At 32.0% G+C, this 26347-nt stretch overlaps 1 protein-coding gene across 35 annotated transcripts in view; it reads left to right on the forward strand.

The window, feature by feature from the left end:
- Positions 1–26347, forward strand: part of CCDC171 (coiled-coil domain containing 171) — a 556042-nt gene that overhangs the window by 283622 nt on the left and 246073 nt on the right. For all 35 annotated transcript variants that reach the window (XR_007061261.1, XR_001746227.3, XR_001746228.3 and 32 more), the window contains 2 exons: positions 10196–10341; positions 12387–12441. Coding sequence is in view for 30 of the 35 variants with exons in the window: in XM_047422930.1 (XP_047278886.1) it covers positions 10196–10341; positions 12387–12441 (201 nt within the window). In the remaining 5 variants the exon portion in view is untranslated. The remainder of the gene's footprint in view (positions 1–10195; positions 10342–12386; positions 12442–26347) is intronic.

A 26347-nucleotide genomic window follows, 5' to 3' on the forward strand; every position in this document is an offset into this window, starting at 1 on the left:
ACGTCCGGCTAATTTTTTGTATTTTTAGTAGAGACGAGGTTTCACTGTGTTAGCCAGGATGGTCTCGATCTCCTGACCTCGTGATCCGCCTGCCTCGGCCTCCCAAAGTCCTGGGATTACAGGCGTGAGCCACCGCGCCCGGCCGGTCTTGTTTTAAAGGTGTCTACATGGGACATTGCTGTCCTTTTCTCCGATAGGAATTGACATTTTGCTTCTAGTCACATTTCATTGGTCAAAGCAAGTAACTTGACCATTCCTGATTTTGACAGGACAGGGTATATATAATCTTCTTTCCAGAAAGGACACCACCGATTTACATCGTCAAATTTCGTATCAGTGGAACGGGAGAATATACTTTCCCCTCTTGGAGAAGGAACAAATAGTTTGACCAATAATAAAATCTACTGCGGTAACTTATCTTTTTCATTATATAATGTATAGAAATAATTAATCTTCTTTCTAGTTAGCCACATTGGCCAAATTTGGTGTAACTTGACATTTTAACATCTGCAACCCTCTTCACTAGTTTGGTCAGTAGGGTTGAAAATAGTTATCTCCGGGAGTCATATGTCTGGTTGATGCTTTTCTCTCTTGTTCTAGAGGTTTTTTAAGTATAAAAGAAAAAGATTCTTCCGTGTATTATGCTGTTTGTTGTTTAAGAAAATTTGAACGTTCTACAATATGTACTCAGTGTCCACCACATTCCACAGAGCATTTTCTAGGCTCCAGAAGCCATATTCCTGACATTTTAAAGCATCACCACTAGATGGCGATCTCGCTCATTTAGAAGGTTAGAACAACTATGTTTTTCTTCAGGTGAATGGGTTGGTTACAGAGGGATCAGAAGTGTAAATTATACTAATTTTATAGCAAGCTCTTTGTAACCAAAATGGTACTATTTACTGAGTATGTATATATTCATGTACATATATACACATACACCCTTATACAGGAAAATTCCATTTGAAGAAAACCTATAAAATGCTATGTTTTGCTATGTTACTTCCCCAGAATATATATTTTTCAACTATTACTGCCTGAACAAATACAGGGGTTTTCATAAGCACAATTCCTCAAGAAACTGCCCAGAGGCTTGAGTCCATCCCTCTGCCTTGTCCCAACAGTACTTTGAATATGCTTCCAACTGTTGCTGAAACTGGTTGATTTAGTTGTGAGCCTTCATCTTTGTTTTAACAACTCTGTATTACTCAGCTTCACTCTCTTTTTCTTTAATTAATACAAGTGAAGAGTGGTTAAAAATTATATATTTCACTCAGATATGTTAAAAAATAACTTTCATGGTTTATTGCACGATGGGAAAGCCGGTACCAACCCTTTTAGAAAGCCTTTTAGAAATCTCACTCAGTGGTTATTGCCAGTGGTAACTTTGTTCTACCCTCTTTTACTTCAAAACAACACAACTTAATAACCGAAAACATTTTAAAACCATAGCCGAAATAGTGTAGTTCTCCTTATAAAACAATTACTGAGTTCAATTGTTAATCCTCTTTTTGGTGTTCCTAAAATAATATTCTTTTCATTTATTTCTGCTATGATGTAGGGTTTATGGCTCTCTATCATATAATTCATATACCTTGTAGGATTTAATAATTAATGGAAATAGAAAATATATGGCTAGAATGTGCGTTTATAGGAAGTAAATATTTAATATATACTCTGAGTAACGTAAAAGTAAATTTTGATATAATACTCTAGCATATTAAGGAAAACTATTATAAGCCAGTTCTTTGAAAATCATTTTTAACATAGTATATCATTGTATCTTTTACTCACAGGTGAAATCATATTAAACCTTGGTTAGAATTCTTCTGAAGGTTTAAATGAGCTATGATGATATAGCCAGAATGACCTCTTGTATTTCTTTAATTAGACAGTTATAGTTTATATATATGATTCCCAAACAGATCAAAGAGGGCTGCTTCACAGCCTAGAATCCTTCAGAAGCTTCCCATGGCCTTCTATTACAATAGTTGGCAAGTATATTTAGCCAAAGAACCCTTTCTTTAAAAAAATCTTCCACAAAGTTCATAGAAAACATTAAAGCAAATTCCAGTTTAAAGAAGGATGGGAGTTGGGAGTCCACTAATTCAAGCATCCTCTTCAAATTTTGCCCAGGCTGGTCTTGAACTCCTGGCCTCAAGCAATCTGCCCACCTCAGCCGCCCAAAGTGCTGAGATTACAGGCATTCACCACCACGCCTGGCTGGATACCAGTTTTTTAAAGATGACATTTTTGATTTAAATTAGGCACATAAGTGTCTTCTTACATAGCAGCTAAGATCTCCCTAACTAGGAAGAGGTAGCTACAGATGCTGTATTATTGAGCTTGGTATCTTGATATACTGTTGTGATAGGGTGGGTTGCTGTTACAAATATTAAAAAGGTGATACTATGCTAGGCAGTCAAATTTTAAGATCTACAGGGAAAGTTAAGTGCTGTTGTTGCCAACTTATAAAGGAAAGGTAAATAAGTCCATTGCTTTTTGAAAGGTTAAAAAAAGCAACAGCCCAATGTGTCTTGAGTTATATAAAATTCTATACTACAATGGAGTGCTGTACAATTCATCATTTCTTTACAAATATTTATTTTTTATTAGTACATTTAATAAGTGATGACAGTGATCCTACTTTCACACAAGGGATCTTGAGTTGTACATTCTTCAATGTTTGATGTTGAAAGTGTATCCTTAAATAATACTGAAGCTCTTATTGGACTTTAATATAAGTAGAAAGTAACCATTTAAATATATTAAAGTACCTTACTAACTTTATGGAGTTTGATAAATAAGAGAAATATTGGTTTTACATTTCCATGGTGATTTCCCAGTTAGTAGATTTTATGGAAAATCTGAAGACGTTGTTACTAATACTACTGTAGTACAGAGTTTAGAGGAAGGTTTTAGATTCAGAAGAAGGGCTCACATTTTGACATAAACCTATTTACTAGTTCCATGACTTTGGGGAAATAACTTTTCTGATTCTTAGTTTTCTCGTGTAAAACAGGAATGGTAATACTATATACCTCACTGGATTATAAAGAATCAAATGAACTAATGTAATTATAATATGCTTGAGTTATAATGATAATAATGACACTTAGTTGTTACTCAAGTAATTTTCCCCCCTAGTGATTATAAGGGAAATAACAACAGCAGTTATAATGGCCAGCATTTGTTGAATACTTACAATATGAGAGGCACTGTTCTGTGTGTACAAGAAAATATGTGGAACACTCCCCATAGTGAAAGTTAGCAAACATTTGCTGTCTAGAATTTTTTCCCCCATGGACATACTTCTAAAATTAATATAGAAATCAGTAGTAAAATACTTAATGCACAGAAAATCATCCAGTGAAGAAACTTTTAAGAAAAAACTCAAAACTTTGTTTTATTTACATTTAAGTCTAAAATAACCTAAATTTATTTTCCCAATTTTAAATTTGACCTTCAAATTCTCTTAAATAATTGAATTTTATTGAGTTGGTATTTGATTTACTTTTATTAAAAGTAGTTAATATATAACATATTCACGTTAAATAATGGCCATTTAAATTCTGTAGTACAGTGAAAATATTAATGTAAGAGTATTTTAATTATTAATAGGCTTATTTACCCTATTATTCACTTCTATCACCAAAACAATTCTCGAAGTTGAAAGATTTTTTTCAACAAAGTTTTTTATTTAAATATTAGAAACCCAACTATATGAAGCCCTTTATAAATTATTCACATTTTTTCAAATTCTTTTCAGACATTTGTTTTAGGTAATTCTCAAATGATTTTAAAACAGCATTTAAATTCTAAATGATAGTTTTTTACAACTTAATTCATAGCTCGACTCGTTTAAAATATTGCCAGGGAATTCAGCAATTTTTTGGACCTCCACATAGCTGGGGTTGTCAGCTCTGGGAAGTTTTTGAGTATGCTATAGCTGATAAGGTCCAACAGAAGAGCCCATGTGTATTCTGTCCCCTTGTATTTATTAGGTATTTGCCAAGAGAATGTAGAGGTCATATAAGAGCTGATTTTGTTATAGCAGCATCATGATGGTTGTCATCTGCAGGTAGTTTCTGTCTCATGAGGTCTGCAGTGCAGCCAAACTCAGTTTGCTTTATACTCAGAAAACATTACTGTCACATTACTGCTTACATGTCGTGTGTCACAATAAATCTAGCTACCACTTTTCTATTTTGTACTTTTCTGAGTATATTTTCCAGTTGAGAGGGTTTTTGTGGTTCTCTTTACTATCCTCCTTTTTTTTTGTCATTTAAAATGTGTAACTATTTCTTTTCCACTTTACTTCACTGTTATACATTTAGTCTATCACAAAGAGTTTTGTGCTTTATATGCGAGGCTTAGAACAAATAGCATTCAATATATTTTGAATACTCTTATGAAGTTCCTTTTTATTCCATTATATTTTATTATTGATCACTTTCAGTTAGTTTACTGGGAAGAATTAGCTTTTTTATTTTATATTGACACCATTTAGGAAGACATTTTCAAAGGCATATATGAGAATATGGTACAGATAATCATGAGGCATTATACAACAAAATCTTACAGCATACTTGGAAATTTTTAAGGTGAATTTCCATTGCTCATTTGCCCCATTTGTTGTTAATCATCTGTCACATGGCCTATTTATAAAAGTAACGTATTTTACACTCTTCTTTGTTAATTTCCTTTTATCTTTTTCATGTGTGATAAAATAATTTTAAAAATTATACGTATTTGTATGTATATATAAGTAAATAAATGAGGCAGAAATAATATAGGCACTCATAAGTTGTCATATATAGGTGGAGATTTAAAGAACAGTCTGTAATGACGTTACATGTAGAAGTGTAATTATTAATCCTGCCTTTTACATTTATGTAGTCTTTTACAGTTTATAGGATACCTTAACATCTGTTGCCTTACTAGACATGTGAGTTCTAACTAAGACTGCCATTTATTTAACCCTGAAAGTGGGTAAGTTATTTGAGTTTCAGCTTCAGTTTATAAATATGTCACCTACTTTCTGTGTAGGTATTACTAGAAAACAATAAAAGATAGTATCCCTAAGGAAGATTAATTTAAATTACATAACTTTGTATTTAAATTCCTCATATAAAATATAAGATACCAAGATCGAAATTTATTCAGATATAAACTGTACTATATACCAACATCTTTTATTGTTGTATTTTTATTGTAAATTATCTAATTGTTTATCTTACAGATTTTCTGGCTTTATTATAAAATATATTATTCTTTAGTTTCATTCCTAACTTGCTTACCCGGCCCTATTGTAAATTTGGTTGTTGTATCATTTTATGTTTATAGTTTCTGTGACAACCTGTACAGTTTGATCCACCTAGCAAGTATTTAATTAATTCTTGATTAATATAATTTTTTAGTTGTTACATAACAGTAGGGCTGAAGACAGCCTTATTTCCTTTTCAAACATTAATTTTACTAAGCTTTTTAACCAAATTTATTGCAATCTAGAGATGTTTAAAGGAACAGTCAGTCAGCAATAAATTTATTTTTCTTTAAATGTTATCTTTTTTCCCCCTGCAAGGAAATGTAACCTAGTTCTTATAACACTTGTGTTGTCTTGCCTTTCATTTTGTATGACTAACTTTTTATACCAAATTGAATAAGCCATTAGCTTTTAGTGTGTAGGAATGTAGATCCATAGATATTTCCCATTAGACAAAAGAAAATCTATAAAAGCAATATCCCCTGGGGCTTGGTCTTCTTAGCGGCCTAATGGTCTAAAGCACTGCTATACTGTACCCTTATGAGAAAGAACTATGTTGGGTGATTCGCTTGGCATCCAGAAATATTAGTTGAAGAGATATGCATACCCTTTAAGATAACTTTAACGTTTGTACTGTACCACATTTATTAATTAAATATTCCAATTCAGGGAATTCATTCATAAATTTTTTATTTCAAAAATCATTTCTAAACAGAATGATACACTTTGTATATCTTATGCAGTTTTCAACTAGAGTTTGCTGAAACTGAGAGATAATATTATTTAGATAGCCACATTGTTTTGATAAGGTTTTTTTTCTAAAGAATTTTACTTCAAAAAAGACCTCTATTGGTGATAGTTGTACAACTCTGTGAATACGTACTGAATTGTACACCTTAAAAGAGTGAATTGTTTAGTATGTGGATTACATCTCAATAAAGCTGTTATTTAAAAAAATTTTCATTGCACAAAATGTTTTCATAGGTGTGAGATAATAGAATTTCAATTTATTTTATAATTAATTAAAAATTATTAGCCTTAATAAACGTTTGAAGCTTTAGAAATATAATATTATGTATGACTTAAAATAATTTTTGCTGTTATTCACTAGTAATACATGCTTATTATAGAAACTTCAGGAACTATGGATAAGAAAAAATACATTGAAAAAATGTGTGGGTCATTTAATATTCACATTTACCATGTATTCTATTCCTAAGCTTTTACTATACTTCACTACTTCCTTTGTATCCATACTTTTCCTGCCAGCTTTCATTAATAGTAAATAGCTTTTCATGATCATTTCTGGAAACAATCAAATGTAAGTATTTTCTTATAGGAGTAGTTAAGTGAAAGCATTGGTTTTTTCTTCCTTAACAGAGAAAATGAAGGTAAGCAATGACATCATTATCTAAAAAGAAATGCAATAAAGATATTATATAATAGCTTTTGAAATACAGTCATTTTGGGATACCATTGTAAAAATTTGCTTTAAAACATTTTGGATTTAAAAGGAAAACTGGAAATCTTTGATAAATAATATTGTGACATTGGTTCTTGTGTAGGTAGAATATTTTTTTCTGCTCTTTAAAAGACTCTTGTTATCATATCTAGCCTTAACTTTCTAACAGCTAAAATTGTTCACAACACTGTTTAAAGATAAATTCAGTATCAGGCTTTGAATTTTTTTTTCTTGGTAAGTATTAAGACCTGAGTACAAAATGAGGGCTGTATTGTGGATTAAGTGAAATATCTCAAGGCTGTGCTGTTCTGATAACTGAACCTGAAGTGACCTTTCTCAGACACAATTACAGAGCTGTATGTTTTTCCTTTAATTTCATCAGGGGTTTAATTAGTATACAAATAAAACTTCCCTTATCTTCCTTTCTACCTAATTGGCTTGTCTTCACTTATATATGAAGTATGTGAAAGTGGGCTGTAATTAGGGTGACCGTGTTAACCTTTTTTCCTCAAATGTACTGTTGCTTAAAGGCCTCAAGGCCTAAAAACAGTGCTTTGGATTATTGCTTTGCAATCACTATGGCTGTCCCATAGGTTTTCTCATGAGCAGAAGGGCTTTGGGTGCTGCAGGTTCCCACTGCTTAACAGGATCTTCATTCTTCTCCCCACTAAATGTTTATTGATTATCTCGCTGTTCCAGGCTCAGCCTCCAACAACTTAATATCAGGTGACAGTCAGGAGAGTTCTCCAAGTAATTAGAGTTGAGCATTGGGGGAACAATTAGGAGCAGAGTTATTAAACTTGATTTATCCTATTCTCTCCTGAACAGTTTCTTGGATATCAGAACATCACACTTTCACAATCTACCCTGGTTGAGAAATTAGTGGCTAACCTGCTGCTTATCATTGTTGCCTTGTTGCCTAGAGGCGCGCCCTCTTGGTTTGTCATTCAGTTGGAAATATTAGAGTCCATAAAGTTTATCATGGGTTTTAATTAGATCAATCTGAACAGGAGAAAAGAAAAGCTGAATTTAAAATTATATGTGATATATGGATATATATTTATAAATATATATGTGATGTGTATATGTATGTAAATATATATACACAAATATATTTTTCTTTAAAGCTCAGTGTTAGGATTTTTAAATATTCTGTTTTTGTTATTTAAAAAAGGTTAAGTATTAGGGAAAAGACGTATTCTTGAATCACGGTTTATGTCTTGGTGTTTTACACACATCCCCATCAATCTTAGGACCCACTGATGTATTTTATGATGTCATTCTCCTCTTTTCAAATGAGAATTCTATGTCTATAAGTTATAAAACTGTGATCTTTTTTCCAAAAAAACTATATTTTTGTTTTCATACTCAAGGAAGTATGAATTATATCACTTTGTTTATACCACTTTTTGTTTCTTTTCTATGCCCCTGAAATAGTATAAGCTTTAGAAGAGTTTGATGACTCCTGTCGTTGCCCCTGAGACATGAAAATGAAAGAATGGAAACGAGAAGATTTAGCTATGTAGTAGAAATTCTAATGTTATGAGGTATATCTTCTTTGAAAGTATATGATAGGATTGTTGAAAAGTCAAGTGTGGGTTTATGATAATTTCAAAGTCATGGATTCCCTGAGATTGGATCAGGAAGCTTCAGTCTGGATAAGGTTAGAGATAATATACTGAATGCTGGATAGTCCCCTCACCAATATGCACCTCTAGTCATAAGAGTTATTGAGCAGAAGAATTTGAATGGACTGGCACAAATGTATTGTTTTTGTTGGAAGAACTCAAGCTTTATCCATAACTGGTGTTGGATCATTAGTTTGATCTTCATATTTGAAAAATTGATTTTTTTGTTGCTTGAAAGATGTCAGAAATGCTGACTTTAAAAGGAACTCAAAAGGATTTTACTTTTTTAAATAAAGAAATCTTATAATGCTTTAGTGTCTTTATCTTAGCATTGGCACAAAATTAGTAGGTTTAGCGTGGTTTTAAAAATTTATTCTTTGCCATCTTTTTAAAGTTGGTTTGAATCAGTGACTATTTCTGTGGTGGAACGTTTGTGAAGATCTGTTAATAGTGAAGATTTAAAACAAAATACAATGTCTCATAAGTAGTCATAGTTTGTTTAATTTTTTGATTTATATTTGTTTGACGGTAACTCGACTATTTGAAAAGTGAATGACTGAATTTTAAAACTTTCAACATTTAAAAATACCTGGTTTGACTGATGATGGCTTGCAGTTCACCAGCATTTAGAGGGAATTAATTGGTTTAACATGTATGCAGCTTAAGTTTTTTATACTATTCTTTTTTTTATACTACCCATTGTGAATGCACTAAAAGAATACTGTTAGAAGAGTTTTACACATGAAATTATAACATTTTTGTTTATTCTTTACTAGATATTTGAAGCACAGTGTGGATGTTAATGTGTGGCTAAACTGAGCAAGAAGAAAACATTATGTGTATGCACTCAATTATTTAGCTCACCATCCAACAAATTTAATAAAAAACTGTTTGATAAGCTTATTCTAGAAATTTTTTCGGCAAAGGAGTAAGAAGATTTTTAGTGCTAAGCGATCCTCTGATCCCTGTACTATTTTGTATCCTAGAATTTTAACTGAGGTCTAGAAAATACTTCTCTCAATTGTGAGCTTCTGATTCTAAGCCTTCAGTGTAAAGTTGCACAATTGCATCTTGAAATTTTTGTGTTAAGTAAATATTTCAGATTAAAGTAGATAGCAAATATAAATCAACAGATCTTGTACTTCTGTGACTAAGAAAATATTTACAGAACACAAATAATTCTGAATGCAAGTATTATTTATAACTTTATTAGTTAAAACATGTTGATCCTATTTGTGTTGCTATCCTTGACGTGAGAGTTATTTACTGGGAAGCAAGTAGATTTTATTTTGGAGTCCAATTTGTTTGTTTGCTGAAATGTCTATAGCCACCTAACTATATATTTATAAAGACAGTAGTGGTACTCTTTCATCTTGGGTTTACCATTTTCTTATAGATATCCTGGTCTATCATTTTCTCAATCACATGCATAGTTTGGGCATATGATAGTTCTTAACTCTAATTCTATTTGGAATAAAATTGACTCTAAATTTCATGTGCTTTCTCCCCTGAAATCTTTATTTTTTCATCATTAAAAGAAAGTACAACTTGAGATTTTTATAATCAGATTATTTTTAGTAAGAATACAATTTGCCTTGCAGTATTTGAAAAAATAAAATGGAACTGTATTTTGTAACAATTTCCCAAACCTTATCAGTTCTATCATTTCTAATTAGTACGTATATAAAATTTTTGCAGAAAATTTGTTAAACTTTGATGTGTAATGACCCAAGTCTACTTCTCAGTCAGTCTGTATTCTTCTTTGTTTAATAGCCTATGGCATAAATTGAAGTTAATTATCAGGGCTGACAAGTAACTCTGTTTTCTGTCTGCTTGCAGAGTCTCTCCGAGGCAAAGATGGAGCTGAGAAGAAAAGATCAATCTCTGCGTCAGCTCAATAGACATCTTACCCAGCTGGAGCAGGACAAGCGTCGACTGGAGGAGAACATCCATGATGCAGAGAGTGCCCTCCGCATGGCAGCCAAGTGAGCATTTGGACCTTGGGGAGATCACTTAAAACAGACAAAAGATCAATTCTTACTTTCATGCTCCGGGTTTTAGCCCTGGATAATACAGTGTTAGAAAACAAAAGTACAGCTGTCTTTCTTTGAAATTCTCTGATATATCCTCAAAAAAGAAAAACTCTTAACATACTAAATGTATATTTTATTGAGAAACCTCAGAAAAGTATAAGCTTCTATGTAACCTCTAATTATGCTTATTTTGGGCTCTGTTACAGTGTTACATGTTAGAAACTATGTTTTATTAATGTGAAATGTAAGACTCTAAAAGTTTTGCATAGTATCTTCTGTTATACATTCCTATTCTCTTCTGCTCCACTGTCTCCGAAATTTTGTTCTGCATATATTATTATATACTAATATTGCGAGTAATATTTCCATAAAGAAATGTTAGCATACAATCAGCATGTGTATCATAGCATTTAAAAAATACAATAAAACATATTGACCATGGAAAACTCATTTAATTTTTATAGCTGTATATTCTAATATTTTAAGTAGAAAAATATAGTTTTCAGAGTAGACCACTATGTAAATGTGATGAAAGTGTTTTTCCTTTTTTATTTTAAACCAGGTAATCAAGTTGACATACATTATGAAGTTCACATTGAACAGTTCTCTTGGGCATTTTTATTTGTTCCTCATATCAAATTTCATGGAATACTTTAAAGACAGTTCTTTGTACAACAGCATGGCTTAAAGAAAATCTATTTTCAAGGAGTAAAGAAACATCTAATTTTGATAAACGCAGTGTTTTCTAAATTTAGAATTCTGAATTTCTTTACTTGCAAAAATATACGTTAAATATTTTTTGAGACAAACTCTTAAACATAAAATATCGTCAGATATGAATATAGTCTGTAAACTGCAGAATGTATATAAATCACTGAACAAGGAATCCACAATCTTAGGATATTCATAAGCTTTGCCACAGGGTTTGTGACATTGCTCAAACATAATGAAAACATGAATTGACACAAGGCCAAAATGTTGGCATGTTTGAATAACCACTGATAATTTTTTGGAAAATTGTAAAGCTATGTAACATTGCACCACCATCTGAGGTGTATGTTTTTGTCATTTTTTAAAATATAAGTTTGACTAAATCAGTTTTTGTTGTTATTGTTCACTCCCAGTTTCATCATGTCAAATGAGAGGCTTAGCCCAGGTAATTTCCAGTGAGTCTTATAGCACTGAGAAAATTCTGAGATGAATGAAAATAGGCTTATAAGACCTCCAGATTCAAATTGTATTTTCAAAACATTGCTGTTAATTCAGTGTTTTGACATGTCTATGATCTGTGACCACGGGCACATGTTTTTATAAATCTAAAGAAAGCTAATTTGAAATCTGGAGACTAATACATTATTTACAGTTTTAAATTTCAATTTACAATTAGATTTTTATCTTCATTATTTTCATTCAAACTTTTTATTTCATTATGAAGGCTAAATTCAATATACTAGGCTGATAGGAGAAACTAGTAACTTTGCATATTCCTAGACAAGTCACAGAAGAGTTTTCTGTGTAATTATTATAGCATAAAAAGAATGTGTGGAAAGGAAAATACTATTTTGCATAGCATGGTCATTTATTATATATCCCCATCACTAAGATTTTTTAAGTCTTTTTCATTAGAAATAAAAGAATAAAGTTTTACCATTTACAGCACATTTTAAATGATCAATAATGTAATTGTGATTTTTTTCTTTGTTTTTCACTTTTTTACCTTTTTATTCTCCCCCACCCCAATTTAGGACAGGCAACAAAATTTAAGATATTAGTTAAATGTGGAAATATATCAGTGAATATGGTTAGTTTTTATAGTTTTAAAAGGAGAACAATGAATTAAAAAATCAAAATTTAAAAAGTTAAAATAAATTAAAAAAATAAAAGGAGAACAGTGATATCAGACCCTTATTTTTTAATACCAGTGACTTATACTAAAATGTGTAACAGTTGTAGTAAGGTTTGAGTTTTACTAACACTTAATCTTTTATTTTTTCTAGAGACAAAGAATGTGTTGCTAATCACATGAGAGCAGTAGAAAATACGCTTCACAAGGTACTGTTATTTTTCTTTAATATTGTTCAATTTGTGTCATGACACCTAGTCATTATTTTTATTAGCCACAAAGTACTTTCATTGATTTTGAAAGTTAAAAAAATAAATTAACAAAAAGATGCTTTGTAGATGACTGGAAATTTCCATTACATGGTGCTATATTGCATGCTTTTTTTCAGAATTCACTTTATATATCTATAAAACTATGAAAATAGTGGTTTCCCCAAACTGGTGTAATTGCACTAGGAATTATTTGCGGTCTTTGCTGAACAAAGCAGAGGTCATTAAGATCCTTATATGTCTCATAATGATAAAATGTTTTACCACAGTGTCTAACCTCTTACCACTCTTAAACCAATGGTCCTATATATATATGTATATAGAGAAATATATATTTTATTTAGTAATACTCATATATATAAACTAGGTAGTAATGTTATTCAAATTGAAATTTTCTTTCTTGTAAGAATATATTCTTAAAGTAGAAATTTAATTATTTAATATATTCTATTGTTTTCAAATTTGATTACTCCTGTATGATAAACTCTGAGTGTTAATTTGTAGTGATGAACAGCATAATAAAAGTATTATGATACTAGTAAAAACATAATATATTTATTGACCATGTATTTTGTTAGCACTCCACTCTGCATTGAAAGATGTGTTCATTATTTCATCATTCAAAAGTAGAGAAACATTGTTTATGTGTTTCTGCTACTGTCTGAAAGGCAAATTATTAGAAATGCAAACATTAAGTACTTTAAAGATACATGGAATTTATGAATGAATCACATTTAGAATAACCTTGTGAATCAATTTTTTATATAATATCATTTTATAAGTCACTTAAAATACCCTAAAACTAACCTTTTGAAGGGCATATTAAATAAAATTAGCAAACTAATAGTTAATGCATTTTAACATTTTAAAAACAATGGGCCCCTGTATTCTTTTATATTTTGACAGTGACCAGCATTATTTCATGTCAACAAAAGTATTTTGAAAAAAAAATAATCTGAGTGCTATTTCCTAAGCTTCTTTGAAATTATTATTTCTCCCCCTTCCCATTTAAAAAAGTTTAGCTAGTCAGTATAGTTTAAATATAGTCACATTAAAGTCATATGTGCCACAAATCTGAAATTTAGATTTGCAGTGAAAGAGACATCTTTGGTATGTTTTTTTGAACTTGGTGGATAGAAAAGTCAATTACGTCATATACATGGCATACCCTTTTATATAGTTAATGTTGACTTTGAAATCCAGTTGGTTTTTCATCATCCCAGTTGGAGAAAAAAAGAGTTAGATAGCAGCTAACTTGGGGAATGAACTTCGACGTCAGGGAAAAACCATCACCAATATGAAATGTAAGTGTTGTACCTTCTTCTTTTCTTATGAAAATGGCAAAATATATCGTTTAAATATAATAAAGACTGACTGCAACAGGATGATTATAATCATACAGTTCTTCAGTTGTAGTTCATCTTTTGATTTTTGTGTCATATGGAAAGAAAGCTGTCTGTAAATCTGGTCTATAGCCATTGTAGATTTGCTTTTGCTTTATGGCTTTTCCTCTCTTCAGATTTAGTAGTTAATTATTTTGATTTATGTCTTTAGAAAATTCTATTAATATAGTGGCTTTAAAGTTATGAATTACTTTTCAAGCTTGTAGTGAAAACTTAGGAAAGATAATTGGGGATAATTCTGTTTTCTGTGAGGTATGAGTGAGAATGAATGAGTGATAAGGAGGTGGCCCAGAGAGTCCTCTGAAAGTCTCAGGAAGATGCAGGCCCACCTGTCTTCGTGCCAGAGTTCAATAGGTTTATTTTTCTGGCCACCTTGGACTTCCCATTGGCATTTTGCTGTCTTTGATGAAACAAAGAGTAGTATGGAAGGAGGGTCCAGGCTCTTTCATGGGATGGTAAAAATGGATATGGATACATCCAAACTCTTTAACGAAGTTTACTGTGCACCGTAAAATAGTATCACTATTTATATTTCTTACTGTTTTAAACACGTGTGTTTTCAAGGTTTGTACCATTCATTCTAGAATAAAACTAAGTCTTACCCGCTGAGTTGAATTTTAATACTAACTTCTGACACAATAATCAAATAGAAGAAAGAACTTGTTTTCCTGCAGACGTTATTTCTTTTCTTGGATGTTAAGGAACTTAACCTGAACATATTTGTTCTTAGGAAAAACAATTACATTTTATTTATACTTGTTAGTTTTTAAGCAACATATTTCATTCAACTTTTCAAATACTACAACTATATTACACAGAACAGTTGATTAGATATTATTTTCAAAATTCCATTGGGGACTGATAACTACTATTTAATAAGGAAGGTCAGTCATTTCAGTTAAAAACATATAGTTTTTTTTCAAAGAAATGTAAATTTTATATTAATTTCATTTAGATATATATTTTTATTTATGCCAGTTTTTAATGTAGGTCAGAAGTTAATTTTAAAAGACACTCTTTTGGGGGGGAATTTCAAGTTATTGGAGATAAGAAAAATAAGAACGAGAAGAAACAAAATCATCATAACTTTTCATGAGGTACATTTTTTAAAACACACCCTTCTCTCTTGAGTTGAAATTTTGGCCGCTTTTTATTTTTTTTGAAAATCCAAAACTGTTGAACTTCTTTTGAAAACAACTCACCAGTTTAACCATTTTAAAGTGCACAGTTCAGTGGTTTTCAGTATGTGCACCCATCACAACTAATTCTGGAACATTTACATCACTGCAAAAGAAACCCAGTACCCAAGAAGCAATTATTTCTTATATCCCTTTCCCCTACATCCTGGCAAACACTGACCTGCCTTCTGTCTCTATGGATTTTTCTGTTCTGGACATTTAATGTAAATGGAATAATACAATATGTGATTTTAGATGTCTGGCTTCTTTCATTTAGCATAATTTATTCAAGGGTCATTCATCTTGTGGCGTGTATTGATACGTCATACCCTTTTATGGCTGAATAATATGCCATTGTATAGTTATACCACATTTTGTTTATGCATTCATCAGCTGATAGACACTGGGTTGTTTCCACTTCTTGGTTATTATGAATAGTGAATGCTGCTGTGAAATTTTGTGTAAAAATTTTTGTTTGAAGGTCTGTTTTCACTTCTCTTGGGTATGTAGCTAGGAGTGGAACTGCTGGATCAAATAATAATACCATGATAACTTTCTGAGGAACCACAACTGTTTTCCACAGTTGCTGCACCATTTTAAATCTCCACCATTATGGATAAGCATTCTTATTTTTCCACATCCTTGCTCACACTTGTTAGTTTCAATTTTTGTTAATGGCCATCCTAGTGACTACTATGTAGTATCTCACTATGGTTTTGATTTGTATTTTCCTAATGACTAACAATGTTGAACATGTTTTCATGTGATTATTGATTATTTGTTTGTCTTCTCTGGAGAAATGTCTCTTCACATCCTTTGCCCGTTTTTAAATTGGGTTGATTGTCTTTTTGTTGTTGAGTTTTAAGAGTTCTTTGCATATTCTGGATACTAGAATCTTATTATATATATGAATTGAAAACATTTTCTCCCATCCTGTAGGTTGTCTTTTTACCTTCTATTTAAATAGTGTCCTTTCATGAACAGAAGTTTTAGAATTTGATGAAATCTAATTTTTTTCTTGCTGCTGCTTATGTGTTTGGCCTCATATCTAATAATCCATGTCCAAATGCAAAGTCGTGAAGCTTTCCCCTCTGTTTTCTTCTAAGAATTGTATAGTTTTAGCTCTCATATTTAGGTCTTCAGTCCATATAGAATTGATTTTATATATTCTATCATGTAAAGGCCCAACTTCATTTTTTTTATATGGCAATCCAATTATTCCAGCACCATTTGTTGAAAAGGATGTTCTTTTCCCATTGAATGATCATGTTGAATCATTCATACTCCTGTTGAAAATCAGTTGACTATAGATGTATAGGTTTATTTCTGGACTCTCAATTCTGTTCCATTGAATTGTATGTCTCTCTTCATATCAGTACCGTAAGTTTTGATGACGATGTTTTCTATTAAGTTTTGAAATTGAGAAATGTGAGATTTCTAGATCTCAAGATTGTTTTGACTATTCAAGTTCTCTCATAAAATTCCATGTGAATTTTGGGATCAGCTTGTCCATTTCTGCAAAAGAAGGCAATGGAATTTTGAAACCTGCTATGTTGAATTTATAGATCAATTTGGGGAGTATTGTCATCTTAACAAAATATTAAGTCTTGCAATTCATGAACATAGAATGCCTTTCTACTTATTTAGATCTTCTTTAATTTCTCTCAAAAGATGTTTTGTGGTTTTCAGTGTATAAGTTAGGCATCTTCTTGGTTAAGTTTATTCTTAAGTATTTTATAATTTGCAATGCTATTTTAAATGGAACTGTTTTCTTAAGTCTAATTTTTTATTCTTAATTGCTGGTGTGCAGAAAAGTACAACTGATTTTTGTATGTTTATCTTTTTGTATGTTCATCTTTTCTCCTGTAACTGCTGAATTTATTAGCTCTAGTAGTTTTTGTATGCATGTATAGCTTCTTTAGGATTTTCTACATGTAAGATTATGTTATCTATGAGTATAGTTTTACTTAGTTCTTTCTAATTTGGATGCCTTTAGTTTCTTTTTCTTATCTAATTATCTGGCTAGAACATCCAGTATGGTGTTGAATAGACATGTTGAGAGCAGACATGTTTGTTTTCTTCTTAATCTTAAGGGGAAAGTTTTTGGTCTTACACCATTAAGCATGATATTAGCTGTGGGTTTTTTCATAGATCCTCTTTATCAGTTTGAGAAAGTGCTCTTCCTTTCCTGGTTTTTTGAGTGTTTTTATGAAAAGGAATTCAGTTTTGTCAAATGCTTTTCTTTTTCTGCATCAGTTGAGATGATCATGTTGTGCCTCGCCTCCTTCATCCTACTGATGTTTTGTACTACCTAACATGATTTATGTATGTTGAACACCATTGTGTTCCTGAGATAAATCTCACTTGGTTATGGTGTATGATCTTTTGAATATGCTGCTAGGTTTGGTTTGCTAGGTTTTTTTTTTTTTTTTGAGGGTTATTGCATCTAAATTCATAGGACATATTGGTCTGTAGTTTTCTTGTGATATCTTTGTCGGGCTTTAGGATCAGAGTAATACTGATCTCATAGAATAGGTTAGGAGATGCTCCCTTCTCTTCATTTTTTTTCAAGAATTTGAGAGAGATTAGTGTTAATTCTTTAAACATTTGGCAGAATTCATCAGTGAAACTTTCTGGGCCTGGACTTTTCTTATCTGGAAGTTTTTTGATACTGATTCATTCTTTTCTCGTTATAGATTTCAGATTTTGTGTTTCTTTTTCAGTCAGTGTTGGTAGTTTGTGTGTTTCTAGGAATTCGTCTATTTTATCTAAGTTATGTGACTTGTTGATATCCCATTGCTCATTTTCTTATAATTGTTTTTATTTCTGTAAGGTTAGTAGTAATGTCCTCATTTTTATTTCTGATTTTAGTAATTTAGTAACTTTTCTCTTGGTCAGTCTAGGTAAGGCATGCCAATATTATTTGTCTTTTTAAGGGTCCAACTTTTGGTTTCCTTGATTTGCTCCATTGTTTTTCTGTTCTCTATTTTGTATTATCTCTGCTCTAAAACATTATTATTTCTCCCTTCTGTTTGCTTTGGGTTTAGTTTGCGCTCTCTGTCTCTCTCTTAACTGCTCCAAGCTGGAAGGTTAGGTTATTGATTTGAGATCTTTCTTCTTTTTTAATGTAGACATTTACAGCTATAGATTTCTGTCTGATGCAGCTTAAACTGCATCCCAGAAGTTTTGGTTTATTATTTTTTTATATTCATCTATTTCAAAATATTTTCTAATTTCTATGATTTCTTCATTGACTTGTTATTTAAGAGTGAGCTGATAATTTCTGAATATTTGGAAATTTTCCACACTTTATTTTTGCTATGGAGTTATACTTTAATTTTATATGGATTAAATACTTCATTTGATTTCTATCCTTTTTAAGTTTGTTAAAGTTCGTTGTATGCTCCAATATATGGTCTGTCTTTCTGAAAGTTAAATGTGCATTTTAAAAGAATATGTATTCTTTTGTTAGGTAGACTGTTCTATGTATGTCTGTTATGTCTAGCGGGTTTATGTTGTTCAAGTCTTCTAAATCCTTGATTGTCTTTTGTCTGGGTGTCCTATTCATTAGTGAAAGTATGATGTCAAAGTCTCCAAATGTTATTGTTGAACTCTTTTTCCTCTTCAACTTGGTCAGTTTTGCTTCATATATTTTGAGATTATGTGGAAATTGTTATATCTTCTTGATGGATTGACTCTTTTATCATTATATTATCTTTGTTTCTTGCAATAATTTTGACTTTAAAGTCTTTCGTCTGATATTAGTGTAGGCGCTCCAGCTCTCTTGGTTACTGTTTGCGTGGGCTATCTTTTTCTGTCTTTTCACTTTTAACCTATTGGTGTCTTTGTATCTAAGATGAGTCTGTTATAGACAGTGTAAAATGAATCACGTTTTGAAAAACATTCATTTTGCTAACTTCTGACTTTCAATTGGATATTTAAATCAATTTACATTTAACGTAATTGTGATAAGGAAGGACTTCTGCCATTTTTTTCTGCATGTGTTATATCTGTTTTGTTCCTCAGTTCTTCTACGATTCCTTCTTGTCTGCATTAGATAGATCTTTGGTAGTGTACCATTTTTTATTCCCTTCTCTTTTATTTTACTATACATTTTTAGTTGTTTTCTTAGTGTTACCCTTGGTGATTATAATTAACATCTTAATTCAAAACAATCTTGTTTGAATTAATGCCAACGTAGTGCCAATTATGTTTAAAAAATTTTGCTCTTAAATAGCTTCATCCTTTCTCTTCATGTTGTTACAAATTACATTCTTATATATTGTGTGCCCGTCAACATAGTTTATAATGATTGTTTTATATAGTTGTCTTTTAAATCTATAGAAGAAAAAGAGGAGTTACAAACCAAACATACATTAATACTGACTTTTATATTTCCCTACGTAGTTACCTTTGCTGGTGTTCCTTATTTTTTCATGTGAATTTGAGTTACTGTCTAGTATCCTTTCATTTCAGGACTCCCTTTAGCATTTCTTATTGGGCAGATCTAGTGGTGAACTCCCTTAGCTTCTGTTTATCTTGGAATGTCTTAATTTCTCCTTCGTTAGAAAAAATTTTAATTTTATTGTGGTAAGAACACTTAATCTAAGATCTAGCCTCTTAATGGATTTTTCGTATGCAATACAATATTGTTAACCACAGGTACAATGTTATAAGGCAGACTTTCAGAACTTATCCATCTGGCATAACTGAAGCTTTATACCTATTTATTAACAACTCCCCACTTCTCCCTCCCTGACCCCAGCCCCTGGTAACCACCATTCTACTCTCCGTTTCCATGAGTTCGACTATTTTAGATACGTCATATAAGTGGAATTATGTGGTATTTGTTCTGTGAATGGTTTATTTCACTTAGTATAATGTCCTCAAGGTTCATCCATTTTGTTGTATTTCATAAGATTTCCTTCTTTTAAAAGGCTGATTATTTCCTTCCTTTGAAAACCTGAGTAATATTTTATTGTATGTTTATACCATATTTTATGTATCCATTTATCTCTCAATAGACATTTAGGTTGTTTCCAGATCTTGGCTATTATAAATAGTACTGAAGTGAACTTGGGAGTGTATATATTTCTTAGAGATTCTTATTGCCCTTCTTTTAGATAAATACCCAGAAGTGGTTGCTGAATCATATGTGGTAGTTCTAATTTTAACTTTTTGTGAAATCTCCATACTTTTTTTCCAGAGCATCTGCACCACTTTACATTCCTTTGCTGTTGTGTACATGGGTTCCAGTTTCTCCACATCTTTGCCAATCCTTGTCTTTTAAAAAAATTTTTTGTAATAGTCATCCTAATAGGTATGAGGTGATACCTCATTGTGGTTTTGATTTTTATTTCCTTGATGATAGTGACATTGAGGATGTTTTCATATACCTGTTTGACCATTTGTATGTCTTCTTTGGATAAATGTATATTCAAGTTCTTAGCCCATTTTAAAATGAGGTTATTAGTTTCTTTTTGCTATTAAGTTGTATAGAGTTTAGAAATTAACCTCTTAAATTTTAGAAATTAAAACCCTCATGTGGTTTGCAAGTATTTTCTCTTATCCCACAGGTTGCCTTTTCATTATGTTGATTATTATTATTATTATTTTTTGCTAGGCAGAAGCTTTTTCATTTGATGTAGTTTCACTTGTCTGTTTTCATTTTTGTTTCTTGTGCTTTTAGTGTCATATCCATGAAATCGTTGCAAAGGCTAATGTCATGAAGTTTCTCCTCTATGTCTTGTTCTAGGAAATTTATAGTTGTAAGTCTTATGTTTAAGTCTTTAATCCATTGTAAATAGATTTTTTTTAATATGGTGTAAGGTAGGCTCCATTTTTTCTTTCTTTAGACAAAGTTCTGCTCTGTCGCTAAGGCTGGAGTACAGTGGCGTGATCTCGGCTCACTGCAACCTCTGCCTCCTGGGTTCAAGTGATTCTCGTTCCTCAACCTCCTAAGTAGCTGGAACTACAGTAATACACCACCATGACCGGCTAATTTTTATATTTTTAATAGAGGTGGAGTTTCACCATGTTGGCCAGGCTGGTCTTGAACTCCTGTCCTCAAGTTATCCACCCCACCTCGGCCTCAGAAAGTGCTGGGATTACAGGCATGAGCCACCGTGCCTGGCCCAGTTTCATTCTTTAGCAAGTGATATCTGGTTTTCCCAACACTCTTTGTTGAAGGAAACTATCCTTTCCCCATTGTGTCTTCTTTGCACTCTTGTCAAGGATCAATTGACCATATATGTGTGGATTTATTTCTGGGCTTTCTATTTTGTTCCATAGAACTCTATGTCTGTTTCTCTGCCAATACCATACTGTTTTAATTACTATAGTTTTGATATATATATATGTATATATGCATATGTGTGTATATATGTAGATGTGTATATATATGTATATATGTATGCATATGTATATATGTTTTTTATTTTTATTTTTGAGGGGGAGTCTTACTCTTTTGCCCAGGCTGGAGTGCAGTGGCATGATCTTGGCTCACTGTAGCCTTCCCCTCCTGGGTTCAATCAATTCTCCCGCCTCAGCCTCCTGAGTAGCTGGGACTATAGGCACACACCACCATGCCTGGCTAATTTTTTTGTATTTTTAGTAGAGATGGGGTTTCACCATGTTGGCCAGGCTGGTCTCAAACTCCTGAGCACAGGTGATCCACGTCCTTGGCCTCCCAAAGTGCTGGGATTACAGGCATGAGCCACTGCATCCAGCCATCTTTGTAATGTATTTTGAAGTCAGAAAGTGTGAGGCCTCCAGCTTGGCCCTGATTTTTCAAGCTCTTTTTGGCTATTTGAGGCAGTTTCTGGTTGCATATGAAGTTTAGAATTGCTTTTTCTATTTCTGCAAAAATGCCACTGGGATTCTGATAGGGATTACATTGAATCTGTAAATCACTTTGGGTAGTATGAACATTTTAACAATAATAAGTCTTCCAATTCATGAACACAGAATGTTTTTTCATTTGTTGTATTTTTAATTTCTTTTGCCAATATTTTATACTTTTTAGTGTACAAGTCTTTCACCTCTGTTAATTTGTAAGTATTTTATTCTTTTTGATGTGGTTATAAGTGTGATTTTTTTTAGTGTTTACCTTGGTGTTTACAATTAACATCTTAATTCATAACAATCTAGTTTGAATTAATACTGAACTAGGATGTTCCATACGTAAGGAATACTCATCTATTCTAAAGGGGTTTCTATGTAGAAGATCACGTCATCTGTAATCAGGGACAGTTTTACTTCTTCCTTTTCTGTTTGGATGCCTATTACTTATTTTTCTTGCCAAATCACGCTTGCTAGGACATTCAGTGATATGTTGAATACAAGTGGTAGAAGCAGACATCCTTACCTTGTTCATGATTTTAGAGGAAAAGCTTTAAGTTTTTAATCATTGAGTATGATATTAGCTGTGAACTCTACATATATGGCCTTTGGTGTGTTCAGCTACTTTTCTTCTATTCCTAGTTTGTTGAGAATTTTTATCATGAAAGGCTATTGAATTTTTATCAATTTTATCAAATGCTTTTTATGCATCTATTGATTGTGTGAATTTTGTCCTTCATTCTGTTAATGTTATGTATCATAATTGATTTTTGTATCTTGAACCATTCTTACATCCCAGGGATAAATCCCACTTTGTAATGGCGCCTAATCCTTTAATTGTGCTTTTGAATTCAGTTGCTAATATTTTGTTGAGGATTTTTAGATCTATATTCATCAGGGATATTGGCCTGTAGCTTTTTTTTTCTTGTGATGTCCTTGTCTGGCTTTGGTATCAGGAAGATGCTGGTCTCATAAAATATATTTCGAAGTTTTCCCTCCTTTTCAAATTTTTTGGAGGAGTTTGAAAATCATTAACATTAATTATTTAATTGTTTTATAGAATTCATCAGTAAAGCCACCTGGTCCTGGGCTTTTCTTTGTCAGAAGATTTTTGATTACTGAGTCAATCTCCTTACTATTGTTCAAGATTTTCCCTCCCTCCCTTCCTCTCTTTCTGCCTTTCCCCCTCTGCCCCCACCCCCCGAATCTTTTTGTTTTGTTTTGTTTTGTTTTGTTTTGTTTTTTTGAGACAGTGTCTTGCTCTGTTGCCTAGCCTAGAGTGGTGCAGTGGCATACTCATAGCTCACTGCAGCCTCAAACCCCTGGGCTCAAGAGATCCTCCTACCTCAGTCTCCTAAGTAGCTGTGACTACAGGCATATGCCACCAAATCCTGCTAATTTTTAAATTATTATTATTTTTTGAAGAGACAGCATCTCACTATGTTGCCCAGGCTGTCTTGAACTCCTAGCCTCAAGCACTCCTCCCACCTTGGCCACGGAAGTGCTGGGATTATAGGTATAAGCCACCACACCCAGCCTCTGTTCAAGACTTTCTATTTTTTTTTTTTAATCATTCAGTCTTGTTAGGTTGCATGTTTCTTAGAATTTATCCGTTTCTTCTAGATTATCTACTATATTGCATATAATTGTTCATAGTAGTCTCTCATGATTCTTTTTATTTCTGTGGTATCAGTTATAATTTGTCCTTTTTGTGTTTTTTTTTTAGTTTTATCTTTTTTGCTTAGTCTTACTAAAGGTTTGTAAATTTCGTCTTTTCAAAATATAAACTCTTAGTTTTACTGATTTTCTCTATTGTGTTTTTCTGTTCTTTATTCTTTTCCTGTTCTAATCTTTATTATTTCCTTCCTTCTGCTAATTTTGGGTTTAGTTTGTTCTTCTTCTCGTTCGTTGAGGTGCCAAATTAAATCGTTTATGCGACATCTTTCTTTTTTTTAATGTAGGTGTTTACTGCTGTATGTTTCCCCTTACTACTGCTTTCACTGAGTCTCTTAAGTTTTGATATGTTGTATTTCATTTTCATTTTGTCTCAAGATATTTTCTAACTTTCCTAATGATTTCTTTCTTATGCCGCTGGTTGTTCAAAAATTTATTTCTATATATTGTGAATTTTCCAGTTTTTCTTCTATACTTTGTTTCTGGTTTCATTTCATTATAGTCAGAAAAGAAACTTGGTATGATTTTAATATTCTTAAATCTATTAAGACTTGTTTTGACACCTAACATATGATATATCCTGGAAAATGACGTGTGTACACTTGAGAACAATGCGTGTTCTGCTGCTGTATACTGGAACGGTCTACGTATGTTCATTAGGTTCATTTGGTCTATAGTGTTGTTTGTGTTTGCTATTTCTTTTTCTGACTGGTTGTTCTCCCCGTTATTGGAAGTGGGGTAATGAAGTCTCCTACTATTATTGTGTTGCTGTCTATATTCCCTTCAGTTCTGCCAATGTTTGTTTTATATATTTAGGTGCTCTGTTGTTAGGGATGTGTGTGTGTGTGTGTGTGTGTGTGATAATTGTTAAAATTGTTATATGTTCCTGGAGACTGCACTCTTATATCATTATATAATGTTATTCTTTGTCTCTCCTGACAGTTTTTGGCTTCTAATCCTAATCTATTTTGTATGATATAAATATATCCACTCCTACTCTTTTTTGGTTACCAAATGGTAACTAATGGAATATCTATTTCCAACACTTTACTTTCAGTCTATGCACATCCTTAAATCTAAAATGAGTTTCTCATAGACAGCGTATAGTTGGATCTTTTTTTTTTTTAAATCCGTTCAGCCACTCTGTGTCTCTTTATTGGAAGTTATATCTATTTATTTATCAGAAGTTAAACCTATTTACGTTTGAAGTAATTACTGATAGGAAATTATTTATTATTGCCATTTTGTTCATCATTTTCTGTTTGTCTTATAGTTCATTTGTTTTTGGAGTTCCAGAGCTTTTTGGAATTCCTTAGTGCACAGTTCTTAGTTCATTTTTCTCCCTTGCTCTCATCCTTTGTGTTTCGTTGATTTTTTTTGTATTGATAAACTTTTATTAATTTCTTTTTTACTTTTGTGTAACTTATATGGGTATTTTGTTTCCAGTTACCCTGGGGCTTATATAAAATACGGTTATGACAGTTTAAGTTGATAACAACTTAACTTTAATCACATGCAAAAACTCTACAGTTTTACTCCTCCTACCTTCACATTTTGTCGTTGATGTCACAATTTACTATATGGTGTATTCATTCATTCATTCACATATTTTTTACTTATAGTTGTTTTTAATACTTTCGTGTTTTAACTTTTACATTAGAAATAAAAGTGATTTACCCACCACCATTAGAGTAATAAAGCATTCTGTATATCTGTATATTTACCTTTGTGTTCTATACTTTCTTATGGTATCATGTTGCTGTACAGCATTCTATTATTTCTACTTGAAGAACTGCCTTTAGCGCTCCTTGTAAGGCAAGTCTGTTAGTGATGAACTTCCTCAGCTTTTGTCAGGGAAATTTTTATGTTTCCTTCATTTTTAAAGGGCAGTTTTGCCAGGTATAGTGTTCTTAGATAGCATTCTTTTTCCCTTTCATCCCTTTGAATATGTCATGTTACTGCCTTCTGGCTTGCAAAGTTTGAGCTGAAAAAGTCAATTGATAGTTTAATAGGGATTCCCTTGTTTGTAATGAGTCATTTTCTTCTTGCTTCTTTAAAAATTCTCTTTTTTTGAATTAAAAAAAGAATAAAAAAGACTTAAAAATTCTCTTTTTTTGAATAAAGACTTAAACTGTCTTTATTCTTTATTACTATTATTATTTTCTTCCTCCGACTGGGTGATTTCACGTGGCCTATCTTCAAGTTCACCAATTTTTTTTTTTCTGCTGGTTTTAGTCTGCTGTTGAACCTCTCTTGAATTTTTAGTTGAGTTATTATATTCTTCTGCCCTAATATTTGTTCCTCTTAAGTTTTCTTATTACTGAAATTCTCACTTTGTTCATGTATTATTTTTCTGAGCTTATCGATCATTTTTATGACAGTATTTTGAATTCTCTTTCAGATAATTAATATATCTCCATTTCATTAGTATTGGTTTCCAGAGTTTTATCTTGTTCCTTTTTTGGATTATGTTTCTCTGTTTTTTCATTTTCCTTGACTCTTTGTGTTGGTATCTGTGCATTAAGGAGAAAAAAAAAAAGAACCTACCATCTCTCTCAGACTTCAAGGATTGGCTTTGTACCAGAGAAGACCTTCACCAATAAACTTGGCCAGAGCTTCTATGGGGCTCTCAAACTTCTGTGTTAGTCCAAACTGTCATCTTCTTAAAGGCTCCAGGGTTCTAGAGTATGCTAGAACCTCATAGAACCTCATCAGTACTTTGTAGTATGCCTCATCAGTACTTTGAGACAG

The sequence above is a fragment of the Homo sapiens genome, chromosome 9 (genome assembly GCF_000001405.40).
Source record: "Homo sapiens chromosome 9, GRCh38.p14 Primary Assembly".
Classification (NCBI taxonomy): Eukaryota; Metazoa; Chordata; class Mammalia; order Primates; family Hominidae; genus Homo; species Homo sapiens.